Source organism: Homo sapiens, chromosome 1 (genome assembly GCF_000001405.40).
Source record: "Homo sapiens chromosome 1, GRCh38.p14 Primary Assembly".
NCBI lineage: Eukaryota > Metazoa > Chordata > Mammalia > Primates > Hominidae > Homo > Homo sapiens.
Window position 1 is genome coordinate 1,512,061 of NC_000001.11, and position 22,678 is coordinate 1,534,738.

General features: G+C 59.9%; 1 protein-coding gene across 6 annotated transcripts, besides 1 other annotated feature; it reads left to right on the plus strand.

Moving 5' to 3' along the window:
* Positions 60–219: a silencer, noted in NCBI's record as "silent region_77". NCBI's record gives its function as "represses an Ori minimal core promoter by ATAC-STARR-seq in GM12878 lymphoblastoid cells {active_cell/tissue: GM12878}" and the evidence as "EXISTENCE:reporter gene assay evidence [ECO:0000049][PMID:35858748]".
* On the plus strand, positions 102–22,625 carry ATAD3A (ATPase family AAA domain containing 3A). 6 transcript variants are annotated; one of them, XM_047424288.1, is made up of 17 exons: positions 102–413; positions 3,574–3,798; positions 3,952–4,028; positions 5,251–5,352; positions 5,656–5,715; positions 6,861–6,930; positions 8,081–8,246; positions 8,488–8,557; positions 10,684–10,839; positions 11,451–11,507; positions 11,779–11,904; positions 12,213–12,337; positions 13,180–13,231; positions 14,401–14,471; positions 15,635–15,802; positions 17,163–17,271; positions 21,866–22,625. In XM_047424288.1, the coding sequence occupies exons 2-17, from the start codon at positions 3,756–3,758 to the stop codon at positions 22,010–22,012; spliced, it is 1,599 nt and encodes a 532-aa protein (XP_047280244.1). In that variant the 5' UTR covers positions 102–413; positions 3,574–3,755; the 3' UTR covers positions 22,013–22,625. The 6 variants fall into 6 exon arrangements, with proteins under 6 accessions (XP_047280244.1, NP_060658.3, NP_001164006.1 ...); NM_018188.5 differs by lacking the exon at positions 3,574–3,798 and having other exon boundaries at positions 5,107–5,352; NM_001170535.3 differs by lacking the exon at positions 3,574–3,798.

Below are 22,678 nucleotides of genomic sequence, written 5' to 3' on the forward strand. Positions count from 1 at the left end.
TCGCTATGGCGTCACTGTCCTCGGGGCCAATCCAAGGGCTGCGCGCGTGTCCCTTACGCGCTTCTATCGCCGGGAGGAAGGGGTGTGTGTGGCGCCTGCGCAGTGGCGGTGACCACCGGCTCGCGGCGCGTGGAGGCTGCTCCCAGCCGCGCGCGAGTCAGACTCGGGTGGGGGTCCCGGCGGCGGTAGCGGCGGCGGCGGTGCGAGCATGTCGTGGCTCTTCGGCATTAACAAGGGCCCCAAGGGTGAAGGCGCGGGGCCGCCGCCGCCTTTGCCGCCCGCGCAGCCCGGGGCCGAGGGCGGCGGGGACCGCGGGTTGGGAGACCGGCCGGCGCCCAAGGACAAATGGAGCAACTTCGACCCCACCGGCCTGGAGCGCGCCGCCAAGGCGGCGCGCGAGCTGGAGCACTCGCGTGAGTGCGGCGGGGCGGGGCGGCGCGGGCGGGCGGGCGGGACGGGCCGGGGAAGCGGGAGCCCTGGCCCTTGCCGCTCCTCGCCGCTGTCGGCAGCCACTTCCCGGGCGAGACTGCGCCCCCGGAGCACCCCCGGCCGGAGCCGTGTCGCGTGCCGGGAGGATCGGACTCTTTCCGTCACCCGTTTGCACCTCTGCAGCTGTCAGGAGCGGGTCAGGTGCGGAAAGCGGTGCGGAGGTGGCGCTCATAGGTTACAGGGGTCAGGGTCTGGGGCTGGCCGTGGTCTTCAGTTACCGCCGAGCGTGCGGGATCCTTCTGCGCTTGCCGCCTCCACGTGGCACAGGCCAAGGCGTGGCCAGATGGGTAGATGGGTTTGTTGGGTGGTTGCTAGCAGTTTCCACGTAACAAGGGAAGCGTATTTGAGAGTTACTTGATTCTAACGAGACTAGCAGATTTGCACTTCTTGTTGGAAGACGTTAGCATTTGCACGGCGAGGTCTGTGAAGCCACAGGCCAGGCCGTGCTGCTCAGCTTGAGTAAACCCCTGACCCAAGGCCCTCAGGGTGTGAGCACTCACCATGTTGTTCAGGCTGGTCTTGAATTCTGGCCTCAGGTGATTCGCCCACCTCGGCCTCCCAAAGCGCTGGGATGACAGGCGTGAGCCGCTGCTCATGGCCTTCCTCGGTAATTTTAACCATCAGGTTAGGATGGGAATCAAGGGCTGGACTTCAGGGCACCTCGGAGGACAGCGGATGTTGGTGACTGACTTTCTTGCTGCAGGCTTATTTGGAGGGTTCCTTTGTGTCCTAGTTCCTGGGGGTTTTCACCCGCTAACTTCACTTAGAGATTGAAACTTCTCCCACTTCCAGAAGCTGAATCGTAGTGATCAGCCTGCGGCCCCCTGCAGTGGTACAGGCCTGGTTGAGCAGCCTCAGGCCGCCTCCCCATAGTGCAGACCTGTGCCTCTGAGTTGCTCCAGTCCTGGCGGCCCCGGAGCTCCTGACCCGCAGTCCGCTCTGCCGGCGTTGCCAGTGCCTTGGTCTGCCCTCTCTGTGGTGGAGCGGGGCCCGGGGCAGGGTCTCCAGGTGCACCGTGGGGAGCCCTCCATCAGGCTTTTGTTTCCTGTGGATTGTGTTCCAGGTGTGGGCTCTTTCATTCTGATCCCTTCCCTCCTTCCTGGCCTCACTGCTGGCAGGTGAGAGAGGTTTCTCCAGAGTTGACTGCCCCCTTTCCCCGGGTGCCCCCTGCCCTGCCCCTCTGCCTGGTAGCCCCTCTGCAAGCCCGGCCCCTCCCGACGCTCCTGGCTTCCTCCGTGCCCCTTTCCTGGCAGCGGGTCGCCGAGATTCGGCCGGAGCCCATTGCTTTGTCCTTGCTGCTCTCCAGGCAAACGGGCGGCTCCTCCTCACCGACTGCCTCCTCTGTCCCTTGAGGCTATAGCCCCATGCCGCCTGGTTCCCAGAGTGCCCTGACCCCTCCTCCGGCCTGTCCTTGGAAGTCACAGCAGTACATTATCCCAGAACTGTCTGTGAGCACCAGCGCTCGCCCTGCACTCCACAGAGGGGGTGCCTGGAGGAGAGCCTCGTGCCCTGTGGGTGTGAATTCACGCGCTGGGACGCACGTCCCTGGCACAGGGTCACACCAAAGTGGTGAATGATTGTTCTCACTCTAATAACCGAGAGGCCACACGGGCACCTGACCTGCTCTTTCCCCTCTCCTCCTCCCCAGAGTCACTGGGGGTAGGAACTGTCAATGAGCCATTTTCAGGGGAGGGAGTGGCCTCAGCTTAATCCAGCCAAAGGTCCCCTCGGGAGGAAACAGGCAGAGCTCCTCACCGTGACACCCACGTTCCTGTCACTGCTCTGTGGCAGGACCCTGGGTGACTGACACACCCTCAGTCCCCTCGGGGTCAGAGTGAGAGTGGTTGAGAGCCCGGGGTCGCTTCAGCCCTTGGCTTCCCGAGCTTAGCAGCCAAACCCGTTGACCTGGCACTGTCTTCCCTGAGAGGCAGGTCCCGGTCTCATCTGTGCTCTGTTCACTGGGGCCCCCGAGGTTAGCTACCAAGGCGCTTCCTGAAATCTGACACTGATGCCCGTCAGCCCAGTTCGTGCCTAACCACAGGCCCAAGCAGACCCACCCCAACACCAAAGCGTCGCTGCCTCTGTCTAAATGCAACGAGTGCTCCCCACGGCACTTCCCCCTGCGTCAGTCACCTCCAAAAATTACACCTGAGCTGAGAACAGACGCTGGGCTCTAGTTAGTGACGTGTTTGCTGCAGTTGACTCTGAAGGCTTAAAAAAGTGAGACGGGCTGCGGGAGGAAGAGAGACGGGAACAACGCACCAACCCAGGAGCATCGGGGGTCCCTGCCTACTTTACGTGTCTTTCTGTGTTAGCAGATTTATATGTTTATTTATTTATTTGAGATGGAGTTGCCGTCCGTCGCCCAGGCTGGAGTGCAGTGGTGCAACCTCGGTTCATCGCAACATCCACCTCCTGGGTTCAAGCAGTTCTCCAGCCTTGGCCTCCCAAGTAGCTGAGATCACAGGCGTGCACCACTGTGCCCTGCTCTTTTTTTGTCTTTTTAGTGGAGACAGGGTTTCGCCATGTTGGCCCGGATGGAGATTTTTCTTTTTTAAGTCTCTCTCTGTCTAGCTGGAGTGCAGCGGTGCGATCTGGGTTCACTGCAGCCTCTGTCTCCGGGGTTCAAGCCATCCTCCCACCTCAGCCTCAGAGTAGCTGGGATTACAGGCGTCCGCCACTGCGCCCAGCTAATTTTTGTATATTTAGTAGAGATGGGGTTTCACCACATTGGTCAGGCCGGTCTCTAACTCCTGGACTCAAGTGATCCACCCGTCTCAGCCTCTCAAAGTGCTGGGAGTACAGTAGTGAGCCACCGCGCCCAGCCAAAAGATTTTTATGGTAAAGTTTTATGATGGGAAAACTGTCATCCCAGAAAATTTTGAGACCTGATGCTGAGGCCTCAGCAGCTCAGAGAATACGTACTTCTGTCCCACGACACCCAAACATCGACCTGTGTCAGTTCCCCTCTAGGAACAAAACGTAACTGAGGACGTTGTCAGATGCTTGTCCTCGTCACCCTGAGCTTGTTGGCTGGTATCCTATTCTTATTCATTCCCTTTCTTGCCTGCATGTGCTTGATAGCAGATCAATGACAACAGCCATTGGAAGCTTAGGAAAAGCGAATGTAACGTGAAAAAATAGAGGACACTTTAGCCATCGCCTGACTTTCTGTTGAATTGGGAAAGAGCCTCCTCCCGTCCACGTGGGATGGCCTTCCTGATGTGGCTCTCCAAGACCATCCCTGGGGGGATAAAACCTCACAAATGCATCAGGCCGTGTGCTGGGGATGGTGCATCGTCACGCCAGGTCTGACTAGGAAGGAGGATGGGGAGGCAGGGCTGGGGGCTTTGAGGTCGAGGCGTGGCCGTGGATTCCAGAAAGCCCCTTGGCTGGTGTGCGTGCCTGCCCAGCGGCATCCGTGTATCCTAACACCTGCCCTCCGTGTCCTTGCGTCTGCAGGTTATGCCAAGGACGCCCTGAATCTGGCACAGATGCAGGAGCAGACGCTGCAGTTGGAGCAACAGTCCAAGCTCAAAGTGAGTGGGGCCGGTGTGGGTGGGGAGGCCGGGGCGCACATGGGGTTCGGGCATGGAGATTGGTAGGGCTACTGCCGGTGGGTAGGGCCGGGGGTGTGTACATGGGCAGCAGTGGGGCCCAGGGCCAAGCTTGGGCGCCTCATTTCACAGAAGGAAACAAAGGGAGGTGAGAGACGCTGCCGCAGAGCCGCCCGAGAGGGAGGGCTGGTGTTGGTGAGGGCGTCTGGTCGTCCGGAGGGAGGGCCGGTGTTGGTGAGGGCGTCTGGTCGTCCGGATGGCCTGGATCTTCTCATTTCATTACACTCAGCAGGATTTTTTTGTTTTATTTCGTTTTATTTATTTATTTTGAAACGGAGTCTCTGTTTCCCAGGCTGGAGTTCTGTGGTGCCATCTGGGCTCACTGCAACCTCCGCTCCTGGGTTCAAGCAATTCTCCTGCCTCAGCCTCCTGAATAGCTGGGATTACAGGCACCCGCCACCACACCTGGCTAATTTTTATATTTTTAGTAGAGTCGGGGTTTCACCATGTTGGCCAGCCTGGTCTTGAACTCCTGACTTCAAGTGATCCACCTGCCTCGGCCTCCCAAAGTGCTGGGATTACAGGCTTGTGCCACTGTGCCTGCCTTGTTTCATATTATTATTTTTTTATAGACAGAGTCTTAGTCTGTCTTCCAGGCCGGTGTGCAGTGGCGTGATCTCAGCTCACCGCAACCTCTACCTCCCGGGTTCAACCTCTTTCCTCAGCCTCCGAGCAGCTGGGACTACAAGAGCCCGCCACCACATCTGGCTAATTTTTGTATTTTTAGTAGAGATGGGGTTTCACCATGTTGTTCAGGCTGGTCTCGAACTACTAACCTCAGTTGATCCACCCACTTTGGCCTCCCAAAGTGCTGGGATTATAAGCGAGAGCCGTCGCACCCGGTCCACTCAGCAGGATTCCTAAAATAAGCATGAGCTCTGCCCTCAGTGCAGTCCAAAAGGGGGTGTCCGGCCTCCCTCCCGGGGGGCCTTCGCGGGCTTCTGCTGGTGCTTCTGTGCCTGTGGGTCTGGATTCCTCCAGGGCCTGATCCTGGGTGCAGATGCGGCTGGAAGCCCTGAGCCTGCTGCACACACTAGTCTGGGCATGGAGTCTCTGCCGTGCCGGAGCCGTGCAGACACAGGAGCGGCTGTCAGGCAGTGCCAGCCCTGAGCAAGTGCCAGCTGGTGAGTGCTGTGCTCTGCAGGAGTATGAGGCCGCCGTGGAGCAGCTCAAGAGCGAGCAGATCCGGGCGCAGGCTGAGGAGAGGAGGAAGACCCTGAGCGAGGAGACCCGGCAGCACCAGGCCGTAAGAGCGCAAGAGGCCGCGAGGGAGGCCGCCCGGCTGCGGGGAGCGGCCTGGGGCAGGACTGGGAGCTGGGTGTGGTCCCGGGGCACTCTGGAGTCAGCCATTAGAGCTGCCCTCGGAACGGCCTTGCACAAACGCCTAAGACCTGTAAGGTCCCTCACTGCTGAGCCGGACGGGAGGTCCCCGCGCCTCCCCACGTTTGTGTGAGGCTGATGGCGCGTCGGAGTCCCCGGCGCTCCGCCCAGTCGGCCCAGACTGCAGCTCCCGGCTGAGATGTGTCTTTGCCGCCCTCTTCTCCCCCAGAGGGCCCAGTATCAAGACAAGCTGGCCCGGCAGCGCTACGAGGACCAACTGAAGCAGCAGGTGAGCTCAGCCTCCCCTGCGAGGCGCCTGCGTCCCTGAGAACGTAGGTGGCTTTGTGGGACCAGTCAGTGGGTCAGAGGCCACGGGGCAAGAACGCTGGGGTTGCTGACGGTGGGTGCTAGAGCAGGGGAAACTACTCGGACAGACACGCACCAGCACACGTGTACAGGCACACATGCAGACGTGTGCACACATGTACATGGAGACACAGGCACCTACCCACACGGACACACACTCCTCGCACACACACTCCCAGCACACACAGACAGGTGCACCCACTTCTGCACACACGGGCACACACACACCCCTGCACACACGGGCCCACACACAGACACCCCCACACAGAGGCCTGCACTCACACACCCGCAAACATACCCCCACACAACACGGGCAGGCACACACCCACATGGACACTCACACCTGTAAACACACCCCCATACAGACAGGTACGCACATACACCCCGCACACACACACACAGATACGCACACACACACCACACACAGGTACGTACCCCCCCACACACACACAGGCGCACACATACCCCCCACAGGCTCACTGGCACCCGCGCACTCGGGCACACACACAGCCCCACACACACAGGCGCACACCCACACACACATGGGCATGCCCCCCCATAGACGGACACACACACACCCACACACATGGGCGCGCGTACACCCCCCTATACACATGGGCACAGCCCCCCCGCACACATGGGCACGCACACAACCCCCCCACATGGGCGCACAGACCCCACACACACATACGGGCACACACGCCTTCCCGTCACAGGGACACACACACACACCCGCACATGGGCACACACCCACACACGGGCGTACACACCCCCCCCCACAGGCACGCACAACCCCCCCACCCCCCGCACGGGTACACACACACACACACACACACACCCAAACGGGTGCACAACCCACCCACACATGGGCACAATCACCCCCACACACATGGGCACAGTCACCCGCCTGCACATTCGGGCACCGTCACCCCCCGCAAACGGGCACCGTCACACCCCGCAAACGGGCACACTCACCCCCCTGCACACTCGGGCACAGTCATCCCCCGCACACATGGGCACAGTCACAGGTTTTAAAGGCTTTTCTCTTTTTCTGCGGCTTCTTCTCAGCAACTTCTCAATGAGGAGAATTTACGGAAGCAGGAGGAGTCCGTGCAGAAGCAGGAAGCCATGCGGCGAGGTAGGCTGTCTGCTCTCCTGGCTGGGGCGGAGGTGGCGGGGGCTGCTTGTGGACCCGGCGTGCACTCTGAGCCTGAGTTCTGCCGCCCGGCCCCTCATAGCTACCAGTGCAGTGGGCGAGGCCTGCTGGGGCTCCGCGGGGTGGGGCTGCCTCTCGGAAGACACCTCTGTCTGCGAGTGGACGCCAGGATCTGTTCAGGGAGGGCAGGAGCTGCTTCACTTCATGGGAAGTACAGGGGCCTTTTTTTTTTTTTTGAGACGGAGTCTCGCTCTGTCACCCAGGCAGGAGTGCAATAGCACGATCTCAGCTCACTGCAACCTCTGCCTCCCAGGTTTAAGCAATTCTCCTGCCTCAGCCTCCCGAGTAGCTGGGATTATAGGCTCCCGCCACCACGCCCAGCTAATTTTTTTGTATCTTCAGTAGAGAAAGGGTTTCACTGTGTTGGCCAGGCTGGTCTTGAACTTCTTGATCTCATTATCCGCCTGCCTTGGCCTTCCACAGTGCTGGGATTACAGGCGTGAGCCTCTGCGTTCTGCCTAGAACATGGGTCTTTACTGTCCTGGTTTCAGTGGGGATCACAGGTATTTGGTGCCATGTGGCATTTGTTGGCGAGTGCTCCAGGCAAACGTCTGTCACCACTCTTCACCGTGGGTGGGCTTGTGGCGAGGTGTGTGCGTTTAATGTTCAGTAGCCAGGCACGTGGCACGTCACGCGTGTCTGAGTTCTGACAGCTGTGTTTCTGTGTGAGGGGGGCTTCCTTCAGAACTCCGCGTTCTGGTTTTTTGCTTCAAAGAGCTCGTCCTGAGAAGTTGCCTAGGCCTCTGGGTCGGATTTCTGCCCTAATCCATGGGCAGGGCCGGCCTGTGGCGCTGTCCCTACCAAGGTCTGTGTGTGTCTGTGGCATGGACCTGTCCGTGGCCTTAGCCTATTGGCGGCGTGGGCCTGTCTGTGGCGTGGGCCTGTCCGTGGCCTTAGCCTGTCAGCAGTGTGGGCCTGTCCATGGCGTGGGCCGGTCCGTGGCATGGGCCTGTCTGTGGCGTTGGTCTGTCCGTGGCGTGGGCCGGTCCGTGGCGTGGGCCGGTCCACAGTGTGGGTGGAGGTGGACGCGCTGCACTGCATGGTGCTGAGCTGCCCTGCCTCTCTGGGGCAGCCACCGTGGAGCGGGAGATGGAGCTGCGGCACAAGAATGAGATGCTGCGAGTGGAGGCCGAGGCCCGGGCGCGCGCCAAGGCCGAGCGGGAGAATGCAGACATCATCCGCGAGCAGATCCGCCTGAAGGCGGCCGAGCACCGTCAGACCGTCTTGGAGTCCATCAGGTGAGCACTGCCGAGGCCCGGGCCGGCCACAGATGGAGCCCCGCAGGTGTGAGTCGCTGGTCCCAGGGCGCTCTCCAGCTCTTCCAGGCCTTGCCGCCGTAGGCTGACTCCTTGGTGGGGGCACTGCCCCTCTGTCCTGGCAAGGCCGTGCCGCCATGTCAGGGCCTCACCCTCAACCTGCTCTCGCTGCGTGGCACGGATCTTCGTGTCCTTCCTGGTCACACCACTGCTTTCCCCGCAGGACGGCTGGCACCTTGTTTGGGGAAGGATTCCGTGCCTTTGTGACAGACTGGGACAAAGTGACAGCCACGGTAAACATACTCATAAAACAGGGCTGGCAGGTGGCTGAGGGGCAGCATGTGGGGGCCTCCTGGAGCCCCAGGTCCTGTCCCTGCCGGCTCTGCACAGCCCTGTAGCTCTCCCAGCAGGGAGGAAGCCCACGTTGTACCTGCTGGCCTCGGCTTCTCCTCCCTTCTCAAGCTGGGAGAAGAAAACGCAGTTGCCAGCCTGGGCCACACAGTGAGACCCCATCTCTACAAAAAATCAAATATTAGCTGGGTGTGGTGGCAGCCCCTGTGGTCCCACTACTCAAGAGGCTGAGGTAGGAGGATCACTTAAGCCCAGGGAGGTTGCAGCTGCACTGAGCTGAGATCGCAGCACTGCACTCCATCCTGGGCGACAAAGTCCTTGTCTCAAGAAAAAAATTGTCGATAGTCGTGGCTCACACCTGTAATCCCAGCACTTTGGGAGGCAGAGGCAGAGGCGGGCGGATCACGATATCGGGATCGAGACCATCCTGGCTAACACGGTGAAACCCCGTCTCTACTAAAAAAATACAAAAAATTAGCCGGGCGCAGTGGCGGGCGCCTATAGTCCCAGCTACTCAAGAGGCTGAGGCAGGAGAATCACCTGAACCCGGGAGGCGGAGCTTGCAGTGAGTCGAGATCACGCTACTGCACTCCAGCCTGGGCCACATAGTGAGGCTTCTTCTCAAAAAAAAAAAAAAAAAAAAAAAAAAAAAAACCAGAAGGCAACCCTGACTCCATTTTGCAAAAACCTTCTTTATTCCTTATAAAACCCTGAGAGTTTGAAGTTCACAGATTCTTCTCTCGTTTAAAGCCTCACTCTTTTGTGCCCAGCCTCCGGCCTGCTGTGGTGGCGCCCCACGTCCCACATGGCTGTGTCCTCCGTCCCCACCCCGCCCAGCACACGGTAGGTGCCCGGCACTGAGTGGGCACTTGCTCTGCCGTGGTGCCGGCGCCCAGAGCTGTGACTGCAGCGCCTGCCGGTGGCCTGGTCAGTGTGACGGTGAATGTTGCAGGTGGTGTTGCCACCATGTTGGTGAGACCGTGTCACGTGAGGACATGACGGAGCTGCTTAATGCGCCGATGACTTTTGTTTGTTTGTTTTTAGAGACAGGGTCTTGCTCTGTGGTCAGACTGGAGTGCAATGGTGCCATCTCGGCTCACTGCAACCTCCACCTCCCCAGTTCAAGCAGTTCTCCTGCCTCAGCCTCCCAAGTGACTGGGATTACAGGCTCACGTCACCACACTCAGCTAATATAGGCCTGTGCCACCAGGCCCGGCCAATTTTTGTATTTTTAGTAGAGATGGGTTTTCACCATGTTGGCCAGGCTGGTCACGAACTTCTGACCTTAAGTGATCCAGCCGTCTTGGCCTCCCAAAGTGCTGGGATTACACGGGTGAGCCACCGGGCCTGGCCTAATTCATTTTTTGTTTGTTTGTTTTTTGAGACAGAGTTTTGCTCTTGTTGCATAGGCTGGAGTGTAGTGGCGCGGGTCCAGCTCATTGCAACCTTTGCCTTCCGGGTTCAAGAGATTCTCCTGCCTCAGCCTCCCAAGTAGATGGGATTACAGGCATGTGCCACCATGGCCAGCTAATTTTTTGTATTTTTAGTAGAGACGGGGTTTCTCCATGTGGGTTAGGCTGGTCTTGAACTCTTGACCTCAGGTGATCCACCTGCCTCAGCCTCCCAAAGTGCTGGGATTACAGACCTGAGCTACTGTGCCCAGCCAGCCTAATTGATTTTTAAAACGAGTTAGAGATTTTGGGTTAGTCTTGTTTTCCAGGAATAAAGTACCATTTTTAGTGGCCAAGAATGTACCAGAGGGTGTGGCCCTGTGACATCCGGCTGGGTCTGTCCAGGGCCCCGCTCAGCGACCGAGGCTTTCTAGGATTTATGCTGCCAGTTGCAGAGAAAATGGCCCTGAGTGAGGGCGCTGTGACTGCCCCACCTGCCTCCTGTAACCGCGTGGCTGTGGGATTCGGGGCCGGGAATTCGCGTTCCTGTGGGGCCAGTGCACGGCCCTGTGCTTCTCCCTCGGGCGGAGAGAGGGTGGGGGCAGCCCCGTGCGTCTCCTGCTCTAAGAGGGAGGGACGGTGGGGGCCGGTGCGCCAGTGCGGTGTCTCTGCTGCAGGTGGCTGGGCTGACGCTGCTGGCTGTTGGGGTCTACTCAGCCAAGAATGCCACGCTTGTCGCCGGCCGCTTCATCGAGGCTCGGCTGGGGAAGCCGTCCCTAGTGAGGGAGACGTCCCGCATCACGGTGCTTGAGGCGCTGCGGCACCCCATCCAGGTAGCAGCGCAGGCCTGGCCCTCCCTGAGTGCAGTTCCTGGCTGAGTCCCTTCTGCCCCACGAGCACAGCCCACGCACACCCTCCCGTCCCTTCCCTTTCCCCGGATAACGGGCACCCGCACACTGCTTCACGGGTGGGTTTTCCTGTCTGGCGCTGTACCTTAGGGGTCTGCATCAGTGAGACCCTTCCCCTGTCTGCCTCGGTGTCCCCTGCTCAGGGCTCTTGATGGGGCCTGGGAGCACATCGGGGTCCTTGCAAGACCCGGGACTTGGGTGTGCGGCCGTCTATCAGGGAAGCTGCTACAGGCCACGGCGTCTGGTGGCCTCCCTGGGGAGCCGCGCCGCTCGCCGCCCCCGAGGTGCCTGCTCTCCACAGGTCACTGGGTAGGTGGTTAAGAAAATAAAAGCCAATAAGGAACCGGAAAATGCCCCTAATCCCAGCAATAGCCGCCTGGTCTCCGGGCGGGGCAGGGTTCCAGCTCCGGGCCGGTCCTGGCTGTGCTTTGGGGCAGCTCCGTTTCTGCGTGTTACCGAGCGTGTGTGTGCGCGTTGGTGGCTGTTCCGTGGCTGTGGCAGGTGACCCGATGGCGCTTCCCCTTCCCCTCCGGCAGGTCAGCCGGCGGCTCCTCAGTCGACCCCAGGACGCGCTGGAGGGTGTTGTGCTCAGTGTAAGTCGGTGTGCCTGGGACCGGGGAGGCGCAGGGAGGGGACCCTGGAGCTGGGCCGGGCTGTGGCCCTTGCTGGCGCTCGTGGTGGCACCCAGGAGCTTTTGGGTCCTGAGATGCGACTGCTTGGACCGTGCTGGGGATAGATAGGCTGCCCCTGAGGTGGGAGGCTTCCCGAGGAGCCGAGTCTGCACCCAGGCATTCCCGCAGCCCCTTCCCCTGAGGCTTCCATGGGTGCACAGTGTCTCCTCCAAACCCCCGTCTTCCCCGGCAGCCCAGCCTGGAAGCACGGGTGCGCGACATCGCCATAGCAACAAGGAACACCAAGAAGAACCGCAGCCTGTACAGGAACATCCTGATGTACGGGCCACCAGGCACCGGGAAGACGCTGTTTGCCAAGGTGAGAGCGCCTGGCTGAACAGGTGGGCCAGGGGCCGCTGGGGTCTCACCTGCCTGCAGGTGTCTGGGGGGCTCAGCTGCCTGGGGAATGGACCCCCCTTAGGCCTTTGCCCACCCTCGTGTAGGCTCAGGGTGCTGGTGTGGGCAGCAGCGCCTCCCATCTTCCAGGCGGGGGACGTCTCCTGTCTGGCAGGCTGTGGCTTCCAGGCAGGGACGCTGGGCAGAGCCTCCACACTCCGGGTGGAGTGTGCAGGCTTTGCAGAGGCGGAGGGAACATCTGCTCTGTCTCCCCTCACTCTTCCTGTCCAGAAACTCGCCCTGCACTCAGGCATGGACTACGCCATCATGACAGGCGGGGACGTGGCCCCCATGGGGCGGGAAGGCGTGACCGCCATGCACAAGCTCTTTGACTGGGCCAATACCAGCCGGCGCGGGTGAGACGTCCCCACAGCATGCACCAGGCCCTTGGCTGCGGCCCAGCAGGCTGCCTTCTGGGAAGGGGGTCCAGGTGTCTCTTGGGGACCCTGTCTTTCTGCAGCTCTGTCCTTGTGGCCACGCAGGAGGCCCAGTGGAGGGTCCCTCGGAGGGAAAGTCCCCTGAGTGTGGACCCTGGTGGACACGAGGCCCCCAGCGTGTGGAGGCTGCCAGTGGGATACTTGGCTCAGGGCAGAAGGGAGGTGGGTGGGTGCAGGGGGAGAGGAGTCTTCACAGCTGCAGGGGAGGCTCCTCCACAGCCGCCCTCCCCCCAACACGCCTGCAGGTGGGCGTGGGCACTGGTTGCCTTTTCTAGAACCATTTGAAAGTTAGCTGAAGACAGCATGGCACACTCCCTTCAATAGGTCCCACAGTGACCCCGCGCAGGGCACAGCCCGGGCACCCTTGTGGCCTCGGCTGTCCTCGTTGGAACCACGATGCTCATGGTTGGCACCCTCCCCTCTGGCCTTTGACCTTTCACTTTAGAAGACCTGTCCCTGTCGTGGACTCTAAGCGGCCACCAGTGCTGCACTGGGCCGGGTGGGGGTGAAGCCTGTGGGGCGGAGTTCGTCGCCCCCGTGTGTGGTTGGTTTCCCACGGCCTTCTGAGGCTGGGCCGTGGTCAGCTGCCCAGAGGCCAGGCTGATCGGCTTCTGTCGAGTCCAGGACTTAGGGCTGCTGATGGGGCAGAGCCTGACCCCGTGGGGATCTGCCTGCTTGGCCTGCTCCTGCCGCGGCCGGACGCTGCTGTGGGCTGCTCCTGGTGTCACTCTCGCCCTGCTTGGCCTCCCTCTCGTTCACAGCCTCCTGCTCTTTGTGGATGAAGCGGACGCCTTCCTTCGGAAGCGAGCCACCGTGAGTGTCACTAAGCCTCTGGCCACAATGGGGTGGTGGGGTGGGCACAGCCGTCTGCCTGGGCCAGGCTGCAGCCCTCTGTTCAGTTTCTTTTTCTCTGTAAGCTTTGTGTGAAAAACAGCTTTTTTTTTTTTTTTTTTTGAGAAGAAATCTCGCTCTATCACCCAGGCTGGAGTGCAATGGCCCCATCTCGGCTCACTGCAAGCTCCACCTCCCAGGTTCACGCCATTCTCCCGCCTCAGCCTCCCAAGTAGCTGGGACTACAGGCTCCCGCCACCACACCTGGCTAATTTTTTGTGTTTTTAGCAGAGACGGGGTTTCACCGTGTTAGCCAGGATGGTCTCGATCTCCTGACCTCGTGATCCTCCCGCCTTGGCCTCCCAAAGTGCTGGGATTACAGGCGTGAGCCACCACGCCCAGCCTTTTAATTATCATTCTAAGACAGGGTCTCTGTCGCCCAGGCTGGAGTGCAGGGGCGATCACAGCTCACTGTTGCCTCGACCTCTGGAGCTCAAGCAATCCTCCTGCCTCAGCCGCCTGAGTAGCTGGGACTGCAGGGGCACAGTGGAATACCTGTCTAATTTTTTTGTAATTTTAGTAGAGATGGAGTTTCCTCACGTTGCCCAGACTGGGCTCAAACTTCTGAGCTAAAGAGATTTGCCTCCCTTGACGTTCTGAAGTGCTGGGATTACAGATGTGAGCCCCCGTGCCCGGTCAGGCTTTCTTTTCTTTTTCTTTTTTTTTTTTTTAAGGCAGAATTTTACTCTGTTGCCCACGCTGGAGTGCAGCGGTGCAATTTCAGCTCACTACAACCTCTGCCTCCCAGGTTTCAGTGATTCTCGTGCCTCAGCCTCCCACGTAGCTGGGACTACAGGTGCGCCACCACGCCTGGCTAATTTTTGTATTTTTAGTAGAGACGGGGTCTCACCATGTTGGCCAGGATGGTCTCAAACTCCTTACCTCGTGTGATCTGCCCGCCTCAGCCTCCCAAAATCCAGGTTACATTCGTGAGCCACCGCCCCTGGCCCTGGTCAGGCTTTTGAGAGTAGATCCATGAAAGTGTCGCCATGTCCCTGCTCCCTGCAGGAGGGAGGCCTGTGGGACTTTCTGCTGTGGCTGTTTACAAGGCTTTGCTCCTGGTGCCTAAGGCTGGAACCTTCTCTCTGCAGGAGAAGATAAGCGAGGACCTCAGGGCCACACTGAACGCCTTCCTGTACCGCACGGGCCAGCACAGCAACAAGTGAGGGAGCCCCTCGGGTCCTGGGCCCCCGGGCAGGGCTGTGCAGCCGTCGCCCTTGGTTCCCACCGAGGGACCTGAGGGGCCCTGGCTCACAGTGCTGGGCAGCTGCCGTGGCCTCAACATGCCCACCTCGGATGTCCCCTGGGAACGGCCCAGCTCGGGACAGCACGGGGTGTCACTGAGGAACATGCGGGGGCCTCCCGGGCAGAGCTGGGGTCAGTCCTGTCCTCACGGCCCTGTGCGCCGCCGCCCCAGCTTGCAGGTCCCTCTGCCCCTAGGTTTCTGCGGTCCTGTGCCTGCAAGGGAGGTGGTCTCATCGTGTGAGGCTCTGCTGGGTCTCCCTTGGAGGGTGTGTGTGCCCTGGGGTGGGAGATGGAGACAAGTTTGCTCCCACGGGAAGTTGGACACCAGCAGGTCCTGTGTGTCGGGGCGGAACCTGGGACCTTGGTCCCCCGCCCGGATGCTGGCCAAGGGTGCACCCTCCAGGCTTGGGGCCCACCCGACTTTGTGTGGCCTCTGTGGGCTGCCGCCCAGAGGTCCCCCATAGGGTGACCGCCCCATGGCCAGGCTCCCTAGTCCCTCCCAAGTCCCCTAATTTTGAGTTTTCTTGGTCTCCTGGGCCCCTCCAGCCCCAGTCACGTGTCACACGGAGGATCAAGTCCTGCTGGTCGGCCGTGGCTGACTCCTCAGGCACGTTGGGCTCCCAGGTCAGCTGCTGCCGGTGGATGCTCCCTGGAGCCCTGACTCGGGTCCTTCCCAGAGAGGCAAGGCTGGGGCCCTGCTGAGCCTCCAGTGAACCCGGGCCCCTGAGGTCCTGCTCCTGGCACGTGTGGGCGACTTCTCGACATGGACTCCGGGTCCCGAATCCCTGCTCCCAGCACAGCAGGGGTCAGGCAGCAGGAGAGAGTGGTGTTCCCGGCACTGCCTATCAGGCTGGGCGAGGGTCAGCGGGAAAGCACTATATGGAGGGAGAACAGAGGCCCAGGAAGCCAGGCCGGGGGACAGCTGGGTGCAGTGGGGCAGGTGGCCGACCAGGGCTGTGCCCGTGTCCTCGTGTTTCCCGCCACTTTAGGTTCTCCCTGTGGGGGCTGAGGAGGCCCCGTTCCCCTTGGTGCAGCTCGGCCGGCAGCCCCAGCATCCTCATCCTCATCCCCGCCCCGCAGGTTCATGCTGGTCCTGGCCAGCAACCAACCAGAGCAGTTCGACTGGGCCATCAATGACCGCATCAATGAGATGGTCCACTTCGACCTGCCAGGGCAGGAGGAACGGGAGCGCCTGGTGAGAATGTATTTTGACAAGTATGTTCTTAAGCCGGCCACAGAAGGAAAGCAGTAAGTGTCCCGCCCCACCAGCCCCCGTCCAGGGGCCCTCGCTCAGGGTCCACCCCGACCCACAGTCCACCATCACTTACAAACCTTTAACATTCCTTTTTTTTTTTTTTTTTTGAGACAAAGTCTCATTCTTGTCGCCCAGGCTGGAGTGCAGTGACACGATCTCAGCTGACTGCAACCTCTGCCTCCCGGGTTCAAACAATCCTCTTGCCTCAGCCTCCTGAGTAGCTGAGATTACAGGCGCCCACCACCATGCCTGGCTAATTTTTTTTTAATTTTTAGTAGAAATGGGGTTTTACCATGTTGGCCAGGTTCGTCTCAAACTCCTGACCTCAAGTGATTCACTCTCCTCAGCCTCCCAAAGTGCAGGGATTACAGATGTGAGCCACCGCGCCCGGCGTCTTTTCCATTCCTCTTCACTACGAGGAGGGCTGTGAGGAAATCTTGTGCTCGGCCACCCCCAGGCCCTGGCTGTGAGGGGAGGTGATACGGAGTGTTGCTCTGAGACCCCCGTGTCGGGATTCGAAGGAGTCTCTCCTCATGAGACCCCCGTGTCGGGACTGGAGGGAGAGGCTCCTCATGGTCCACTGCTGGCTTCTGGCCTGGCCTCCCTCCAGCTGCCACACCCGGCCCTGGAGCCTCGTGGTGTGGGGCACGGCTCTTGCTGCTCACGTGCCTTGAGGCTGTCAGGCTCCCTGTTGCTGGCGGTGGGTGCAGCAGGCACGGTGGGCAGAGCCCTCCAGGTGATGAGGGGCCCTGGCACCACACACCGGCTGCCTCGGGAACACTCCAGATGAGCAGAGGCTGCTCCACTTCTTGGCGTCCCCCGGGCCCCGGTTTCTGAGTCCTTCTGTGCACCTGACCCAAATCCCTGCTGTCGCCAGTGATGACAAAAGAGAGCCTGGTTGCCGCTGCCGCCTGCTCCATGCCAGCCCAGCTTTCCGGGCCTCAGTTTCCCTATGCCCTCCCCTTCCCTGGGCTCCCCCACCCCCATGGCTGCTCGTAGCCCTGGCACCATGACTTGGCTTCTGTGGCCTCCAGGCAGACGCTTTTGCTAGAAGTCGGGGCTCCGCCACTGCCAGCATAAAGGCCACCTGCCCTGCGGGTGCTGAGTGAGCAGCTGTGGGCAGGGCTGGTGTGAGGAGTGGTTGGGGCCATCTCCAGGCCCTGCAGCCACTCCCTGCTCAGTCCGGGCCTGGCCTGCAGCAGGGAGGATGTGGAGCTGGGCTGTCAGAAGTAGAGAGCCCCTCCAAAGAGGATGTTTGGCGTGGGTGTCGGCCTCGCTGCCTGTCTTCCGGCCTCCACCTCGTGTTGTGGGAGCTGCTGCCTTGGCCGGCCCACTTGGGAACTCCTTCCCCAGGCGCCTGAAGCTGGCCCAGTTTGACTACGGGAGGAAGTGCTCGGAGGTCGCTCGGCTGACGGAGGGCATGTCGGGCCGGGAGATCGCTCAGCTGGCCGTGTCCTGGCAGGTGAGTCAGGCTCCGGCACGTCCACCCAGACGGGACCCCAGCTGCTGTGGAGATGCTCAGTTGCGCCAGGCCTGTCCCAGCACCGGTGTCACGCGGGAGCTTCTGTTGAGGGGTTTTCAGTGCACAGAGGTGACACAGGGCCCCCTGCCCCAGTCAGGCCACTCCACGAGGCATCGCGCACCTGCTCGTGCCCTCAGGAGGGTGGAGCCATGTCGGTGGCTGACAGTCACCCGGGGCTCTCTGGAGGCCAGTCTGGCATCGCCGTAGCCCGAGCTTTGCCAGGTGGGGCTGGAGGCTTCTGACTCTCACCTTGGCCAATAGGCACCTCCCTGTGTAAATGGTCGTTAGGACAGGCCCCATGTGAGTTGGGGGTTCGGGGTGGAGGGACATTGTGTTTTCTGGACCAAGTCTGTGGGCTTGGTCCTGCTTGACACATGGGTGGGAGTGGCCTCTGGTTGTCCCACAGCCAGTTGTTCTTCGGGGACACCCCTCCTGCAGCTCCGTGGCTGCTCCAGGGCTGAGGAGCCAGGACTCACAGGAGTGTGGGCGTGGCCATCCAGAAAGCTTTGGTCTTTGGGGGTTGCTGGAAAAGCAAAACCAGGTTGGTGGGGCAGAAGGCACCCTGGCCACGCACAGGCATCACCACCTCTGGGGTCCGCAGAGTCTGTGTAACAACCTGGTTCCTCAATCTAGCAGTGCTTTTGAATGAACGTGTGACAGCTTAATGAAGCAGCCGAGTACCTTGATTTGAATGTTGGAGCCGGGGTTCACAGGGGGCTGTATTAGTCAGTACAGGCTGGGTTATGCCACTGTGACAAAGAGCCCCAGATCTCAAACCCCGTCCTTGTGGGTCAGCTGAGGTCTCTGTTCCAGGCCATCCCCACTTGGAACCAGGTCTGTTTCCACAACTAAGAAAGCAGAGGCCGGGTATGGTGGTGGCTGACGCTTGTATTCCCAGCATTTGGGGAGGCCAAGTTAGATTATTTGAAGCCAGGGGTTTAGGACCAGCCTGGAAAGCAAGGCAAGACCCCATCTCTACAAAAAATGAAAAAATTAGCTGGACCTGGTGGCACATGCCTGTAATGCCAGCTGCTTGGGAGGCTGAGGTGGGAGGATCACTTGAGTCCAGGAGGTGGAGGCTGCAGTGAGCTGTGATTGCCACTGCACTCCAGCCTGGATTACAGAGCAAGACCCTGTCTTAAAAACTAAGAATAATGGCCGGGCGCGGTGGCTCACGCCTGTAATCCCAGCACTTTGGGAGGCCGAGGCGGGCGGATCACGAGGTCAGGAGATCGAGACCATCCCGGCTAAAACGGTGAAACCCCGTCTCTACTAAAAATACAAAAAATTAGCCGGGCGTAGTGGCGGGCGCCTGTAGTCCCAGCTACTTGGGAGGCTGAGGCAGGAGAATGGCATGAACCCGGGAGGCGGAGCTTGCAGTGAGCCGAGATCCCGCCACTGCACTCCAGCCTGGGCGACAGAGCGAGACTCCGTCTCAAAAAAAAAAAAAAAAAAAAAAAAAAACTAAGAATAATTTGGAACGAGTGCGGTGGCTCACTCCTGTAATCCCAGCACGTTGGGAGGCTGAAGTGAGAATATCATACACCTGAGGTCAGGAGTTTGAGAGCAGCCTGGCCAACAAGGCCAATCTCACCTCCACTAAAAATACAAAAATTACCCCGGCACATTTGTGGTGTATGCCTGTAGTCCCAGCTACTCAGGAGGCTGAGCCAGGAGAATCTCTTGAATCCAGGAGGCGGAGGATGCGGTGAGCTGAGATGGTGCCACTGCCCTCCAGCCTGAGCAATAGCGTGAGACTCCATCTTAAAAAAATAGTAATAGGCCAGGTGCAGTGGCTCACACCTGTAATCCTAGCACTTTGGGAGGCCAAGGCGGGCAGATCACGAGGTCAAGAGATGGAGACCATCTGGCCAAATGGTGAAACCCCATCTCTACTAAAAATACAAAAATTAGCTGGGTGTGGTGGCGCATGCCTGTAATCCCAGCTACTTGGGAGAATGAGGCAGGAGAATCACTTGAACCCGGGAGGCGGAGGTTGCAAAGAGCCGAGATTGCACCACTGCACTCCAGCCTGGCAACACAGTGAGACTCCATCCCAAAAAACGAAAACGAAAACTAAAAATAATAATAACTGGGGCTGGACGGGCGCGGTGGCTCATGCCTGTAATCCCAGCACTTTGGGAGGCCGAGATGGGCGGATCATGAAGTCAGGAAATCAAGACCATCCTGGCTAACACGGTGGAACCCCATCTCTAATAAAAAATACAAAAAAAAAATTAGCCAGATGTGGTGGCGGGTGCCTGTAGTCCCAGCTACTTGGGAGGCTGAGGCAGGAGAATGGCATGAACCCGGGAGGCAGAGCTTGCAGTGAGCCGAGATCGCACCACTGCACTCCAGCCTGGGCGACAGAGCAAGACTCTGTCTCAAAAATAAAAAAATAAAAAATAAAATAATAATTTGGGCTGGGCACGGTGGCTCACACCTGTAACCACAGCACTTTGGGAGGCTGAGGCAGTGGATCTCCTTGAGTTCAGGTGATCTGCCCCCTTTGTCCTCCCAAAGTGCTGGGATTACAGGTGTGAGCCACCATGCACGGCATCTTGAATTCTTTTCTCATAAAAGGGTTTTGAATTTGGTCGAATGCTTTTCCTGCATCAGATGAGAGGGTCATGTAGTTTCCTTCCTCCACTCGGCTAATATTGATTGATTTTTGTATGTTGAACATTTTTTATGTGGAACATTGATTGATTTTTGTACGTTGAACTATCCTTGCATTCCAGGAATAAATCCTGCTTGGTCAGGGTGTATAATTTTTTTATTATACTCCTGAATTGGTTTTGCTGGCATTTTGTTGAGGACTTTTCCAACGATGCTTATCAGGGATATTGGCATGTCATTTTTCTTGTGGTGTCTTTGTCTGGCTTTGATATGAGGGTAATGCTGGCCTCTTAGGATGAGTGAGGAAATGTTCTTCAATTTGTCCAAGAGTTTGAGGAGTGATACTGATTCTTCTTAATGTTTTGTGAATTCACATGTGAAGACATCAGGTCCAGGTCTTGTCTTTCAACTTTTATAGTTTGAAGATTTTAGGTTCCCAGAAAAGTTGCAAGAGTAGCACAGAGACTTCCTGGGCCTGGGACCTTGCCACGTGGTGAACATCATGTGTCACTGTTGGACCCACCTGTGACTGGGTTTTGCCCCAGAATCCCACCCAGGACGCCACGTGACATTTAGCTGTCACTTCTGGTGGGCTCCTGCCAGGTCCCGTGCTTCCTGGAGGGGTGGCCCCGTGAGCATCTGCATAGCCCCTTTCCTCTGCTGGGCCCTGGGTGGGGTGCAGCCACTCGGGTGGACCCTGAGGGTCCCTGCACCTGTTTGCCCTCTCTTGGGTGCGCTCAAGACCAAAAATGATGTTGAGCAGTCCTGGGCCCCGGACCCACAGTGGTGGTGCGGCTCTGGTCAGTGTCTCCTGCGCTCCCAGGCCCCTGACCCACAGTGGCGGTGCGGCTCTGGTCAGTGTCTCCTGCACTCCGGGGCCCCTGACCCACAGTGGCGGTGCGGCTCCGGTCAGTGTCTCCTGCGCTCCCGGGCCCCCGACCCACAGTGGTGGTCCGGCTCCGGTCAGTGTCTCCCCACACAGTGGCTCTTGGTGAGGGGTGGGCGCTTGCAGAGGGGACGGGCACCACGTGGTCATCCCCATGGCAGGTTCCGTCGTGGCGACGGTGTTGTGGGAGGATGGTGTGCTGCTGCCCCTGCACCCCGTGAGATGAATCCTGCCTCTGGGAGGTACAGCTGGGACGGGGCGAGGGACCCACTCAGCTGTCCAGGAAGGGTCCCCTGCCCTGTGCTTCCTCCAGGTGTCCTGGTGCGCTCCTGAGCACGGTGCCCAGTGGGGGTCCCCACACCCTGACCCTGACCCTGACCCACGGGTGCCTCCCCTTGGGGACTCCACGCCCTTCGCTGGCATTGGGATGGAGAGTGACCCGTTCATTGCAGAAGGGCTGGACCTGAGGCTGCCTGAAGCCACACCAAGGGCCACAGCCCCAGCAGCTCCAGCCTTCACGTGCCAGATGCCAAGCCCTGTGCTCAGGAGGACAGGGAGGTGGGGGCAGAGGTGGCCTTGGTGCCACCACTCATGTGCCTCAAGGTGGGCAGTGGCTGCCTCTGCCCTGGAGGCCTGTGAGGGTCAGGGTCTGAGGGTCTGAGGTGCACTATGACCCGGGGGCACTGCCTGGCCACGGCTGAGACTCGCAGAGGGTCTGCAGTTCCCACCTGCCTCTCGGAAGCTGCCCTGGGTCGGCGGTCAGTGAGGCTCCGCCTTGGGCTTTCTATTATTAGAAAGTCATTGAGCAACAGCAGTGCTGAGGACGCAGGCAGGGCTGTGGGCACTGCAGGGGCTGCTCCCGGTGTCCACACACGTGCTGGGCTCTGCCGAGGTGCGGGAAGCCTGTGTTTCACGCTCAGGCCATCCTGGAGCCCCTGGTTTGGTCCCTCCCCACCTCGGGGCCCTGGCGTGCATTTGGGGTGGGGGGTTCCCATGGCGGCCTCCCTCAGCTGCCTCTCTCCCCACTAGGCCACGGCGTATGCCTCCGAGGACGGGGTCCTGACCGAGGCCATGATGGACACCCGCGTGCAAGATGCTGTCCAGCAGCACCAGCAGAAGATGTGCTGGCTGAAGGCGGAAGGGCCTGGGCGTGGGGACGAGCCCTCCCCATCCTGAGTCCACAGGGAGATCCACAGCTCACGGAGCCTGGCCGCGGACCCCTCCCACCCCTGCCTTGCCGGCCCCTGCACATTTAGGATATGCTCCTGGGTGGGGACTGGGCTGTGCCCAGGGCCTCTGTCCCCCAGGATGTCTTGTGGTGCGGGTCGGCCGTTCTGCCCCCCAGGGCACCCCCTGTTGTAGGCACTGGCTAGGGAGGGGCAGGCCTCCTTCCTGCCCCTCGAGACACTCTTGGGAGATGCATTTTCCGTCTGGCTCACAGGGGGAGGGTGAGGCTTTGCACCCCAGCCCCTGCCCAGGCCACTGTGAGGGTGGGTGCTGGCTGAGCCCCCGGGGCAGCAGGAGCCAGGCAGGTGATGTCTTTGTTCTCGGCTCCCACAGCAGAGCCAGGTGAGGGGGCGCCTGCCAGGGCCAGACCCAGGTGGGGCAGCCTGAACCCTGCTTCCCCCTGTGGCCGGCATGCCCCGATCTTTCACACACTGGTGACCCTGAGAGAGGAGGGAGGAGGGAACCTGGCGGGGGTGTCTGAGGCCGCACTGTCAGCTGGCCGGTCCAAGCCTGTGGCTGGAGCTGGGGTCTGTTTACCTAATAAAGTCCCACAGGTGCCTCATTGCCCTGTCTGTCTCTTGGCTGGCACGGGGTGGGGTTTTGGGGGCCTCCTAG

Excerpts from the sequence above, each read along its gene's own strand:
- ATAD3A (NM_018188.5), top strand. The coding sequence starts at position 209 with ATGTCGTGGCTCTTCGGCATTAACAAGGGCCCCAAGGGTGAAGGCGCG. Across the intron at positions 5,716-6,860 it reads AGGACCAACTGAAGCAGCAG|CAACTTCTCAATGAGGAGAA; the intron begins GTGAGCTCAGCC and ends GCTTCTTCTCAG. Across the intron at positions 6,931-8,080 it reads GCAGGAAGCCATGCGGCGAG|CCACCGTGGAGCGGGAGATG; the intron begins GTAGGCTGTCTG and ends TCTCTGGGGCAG.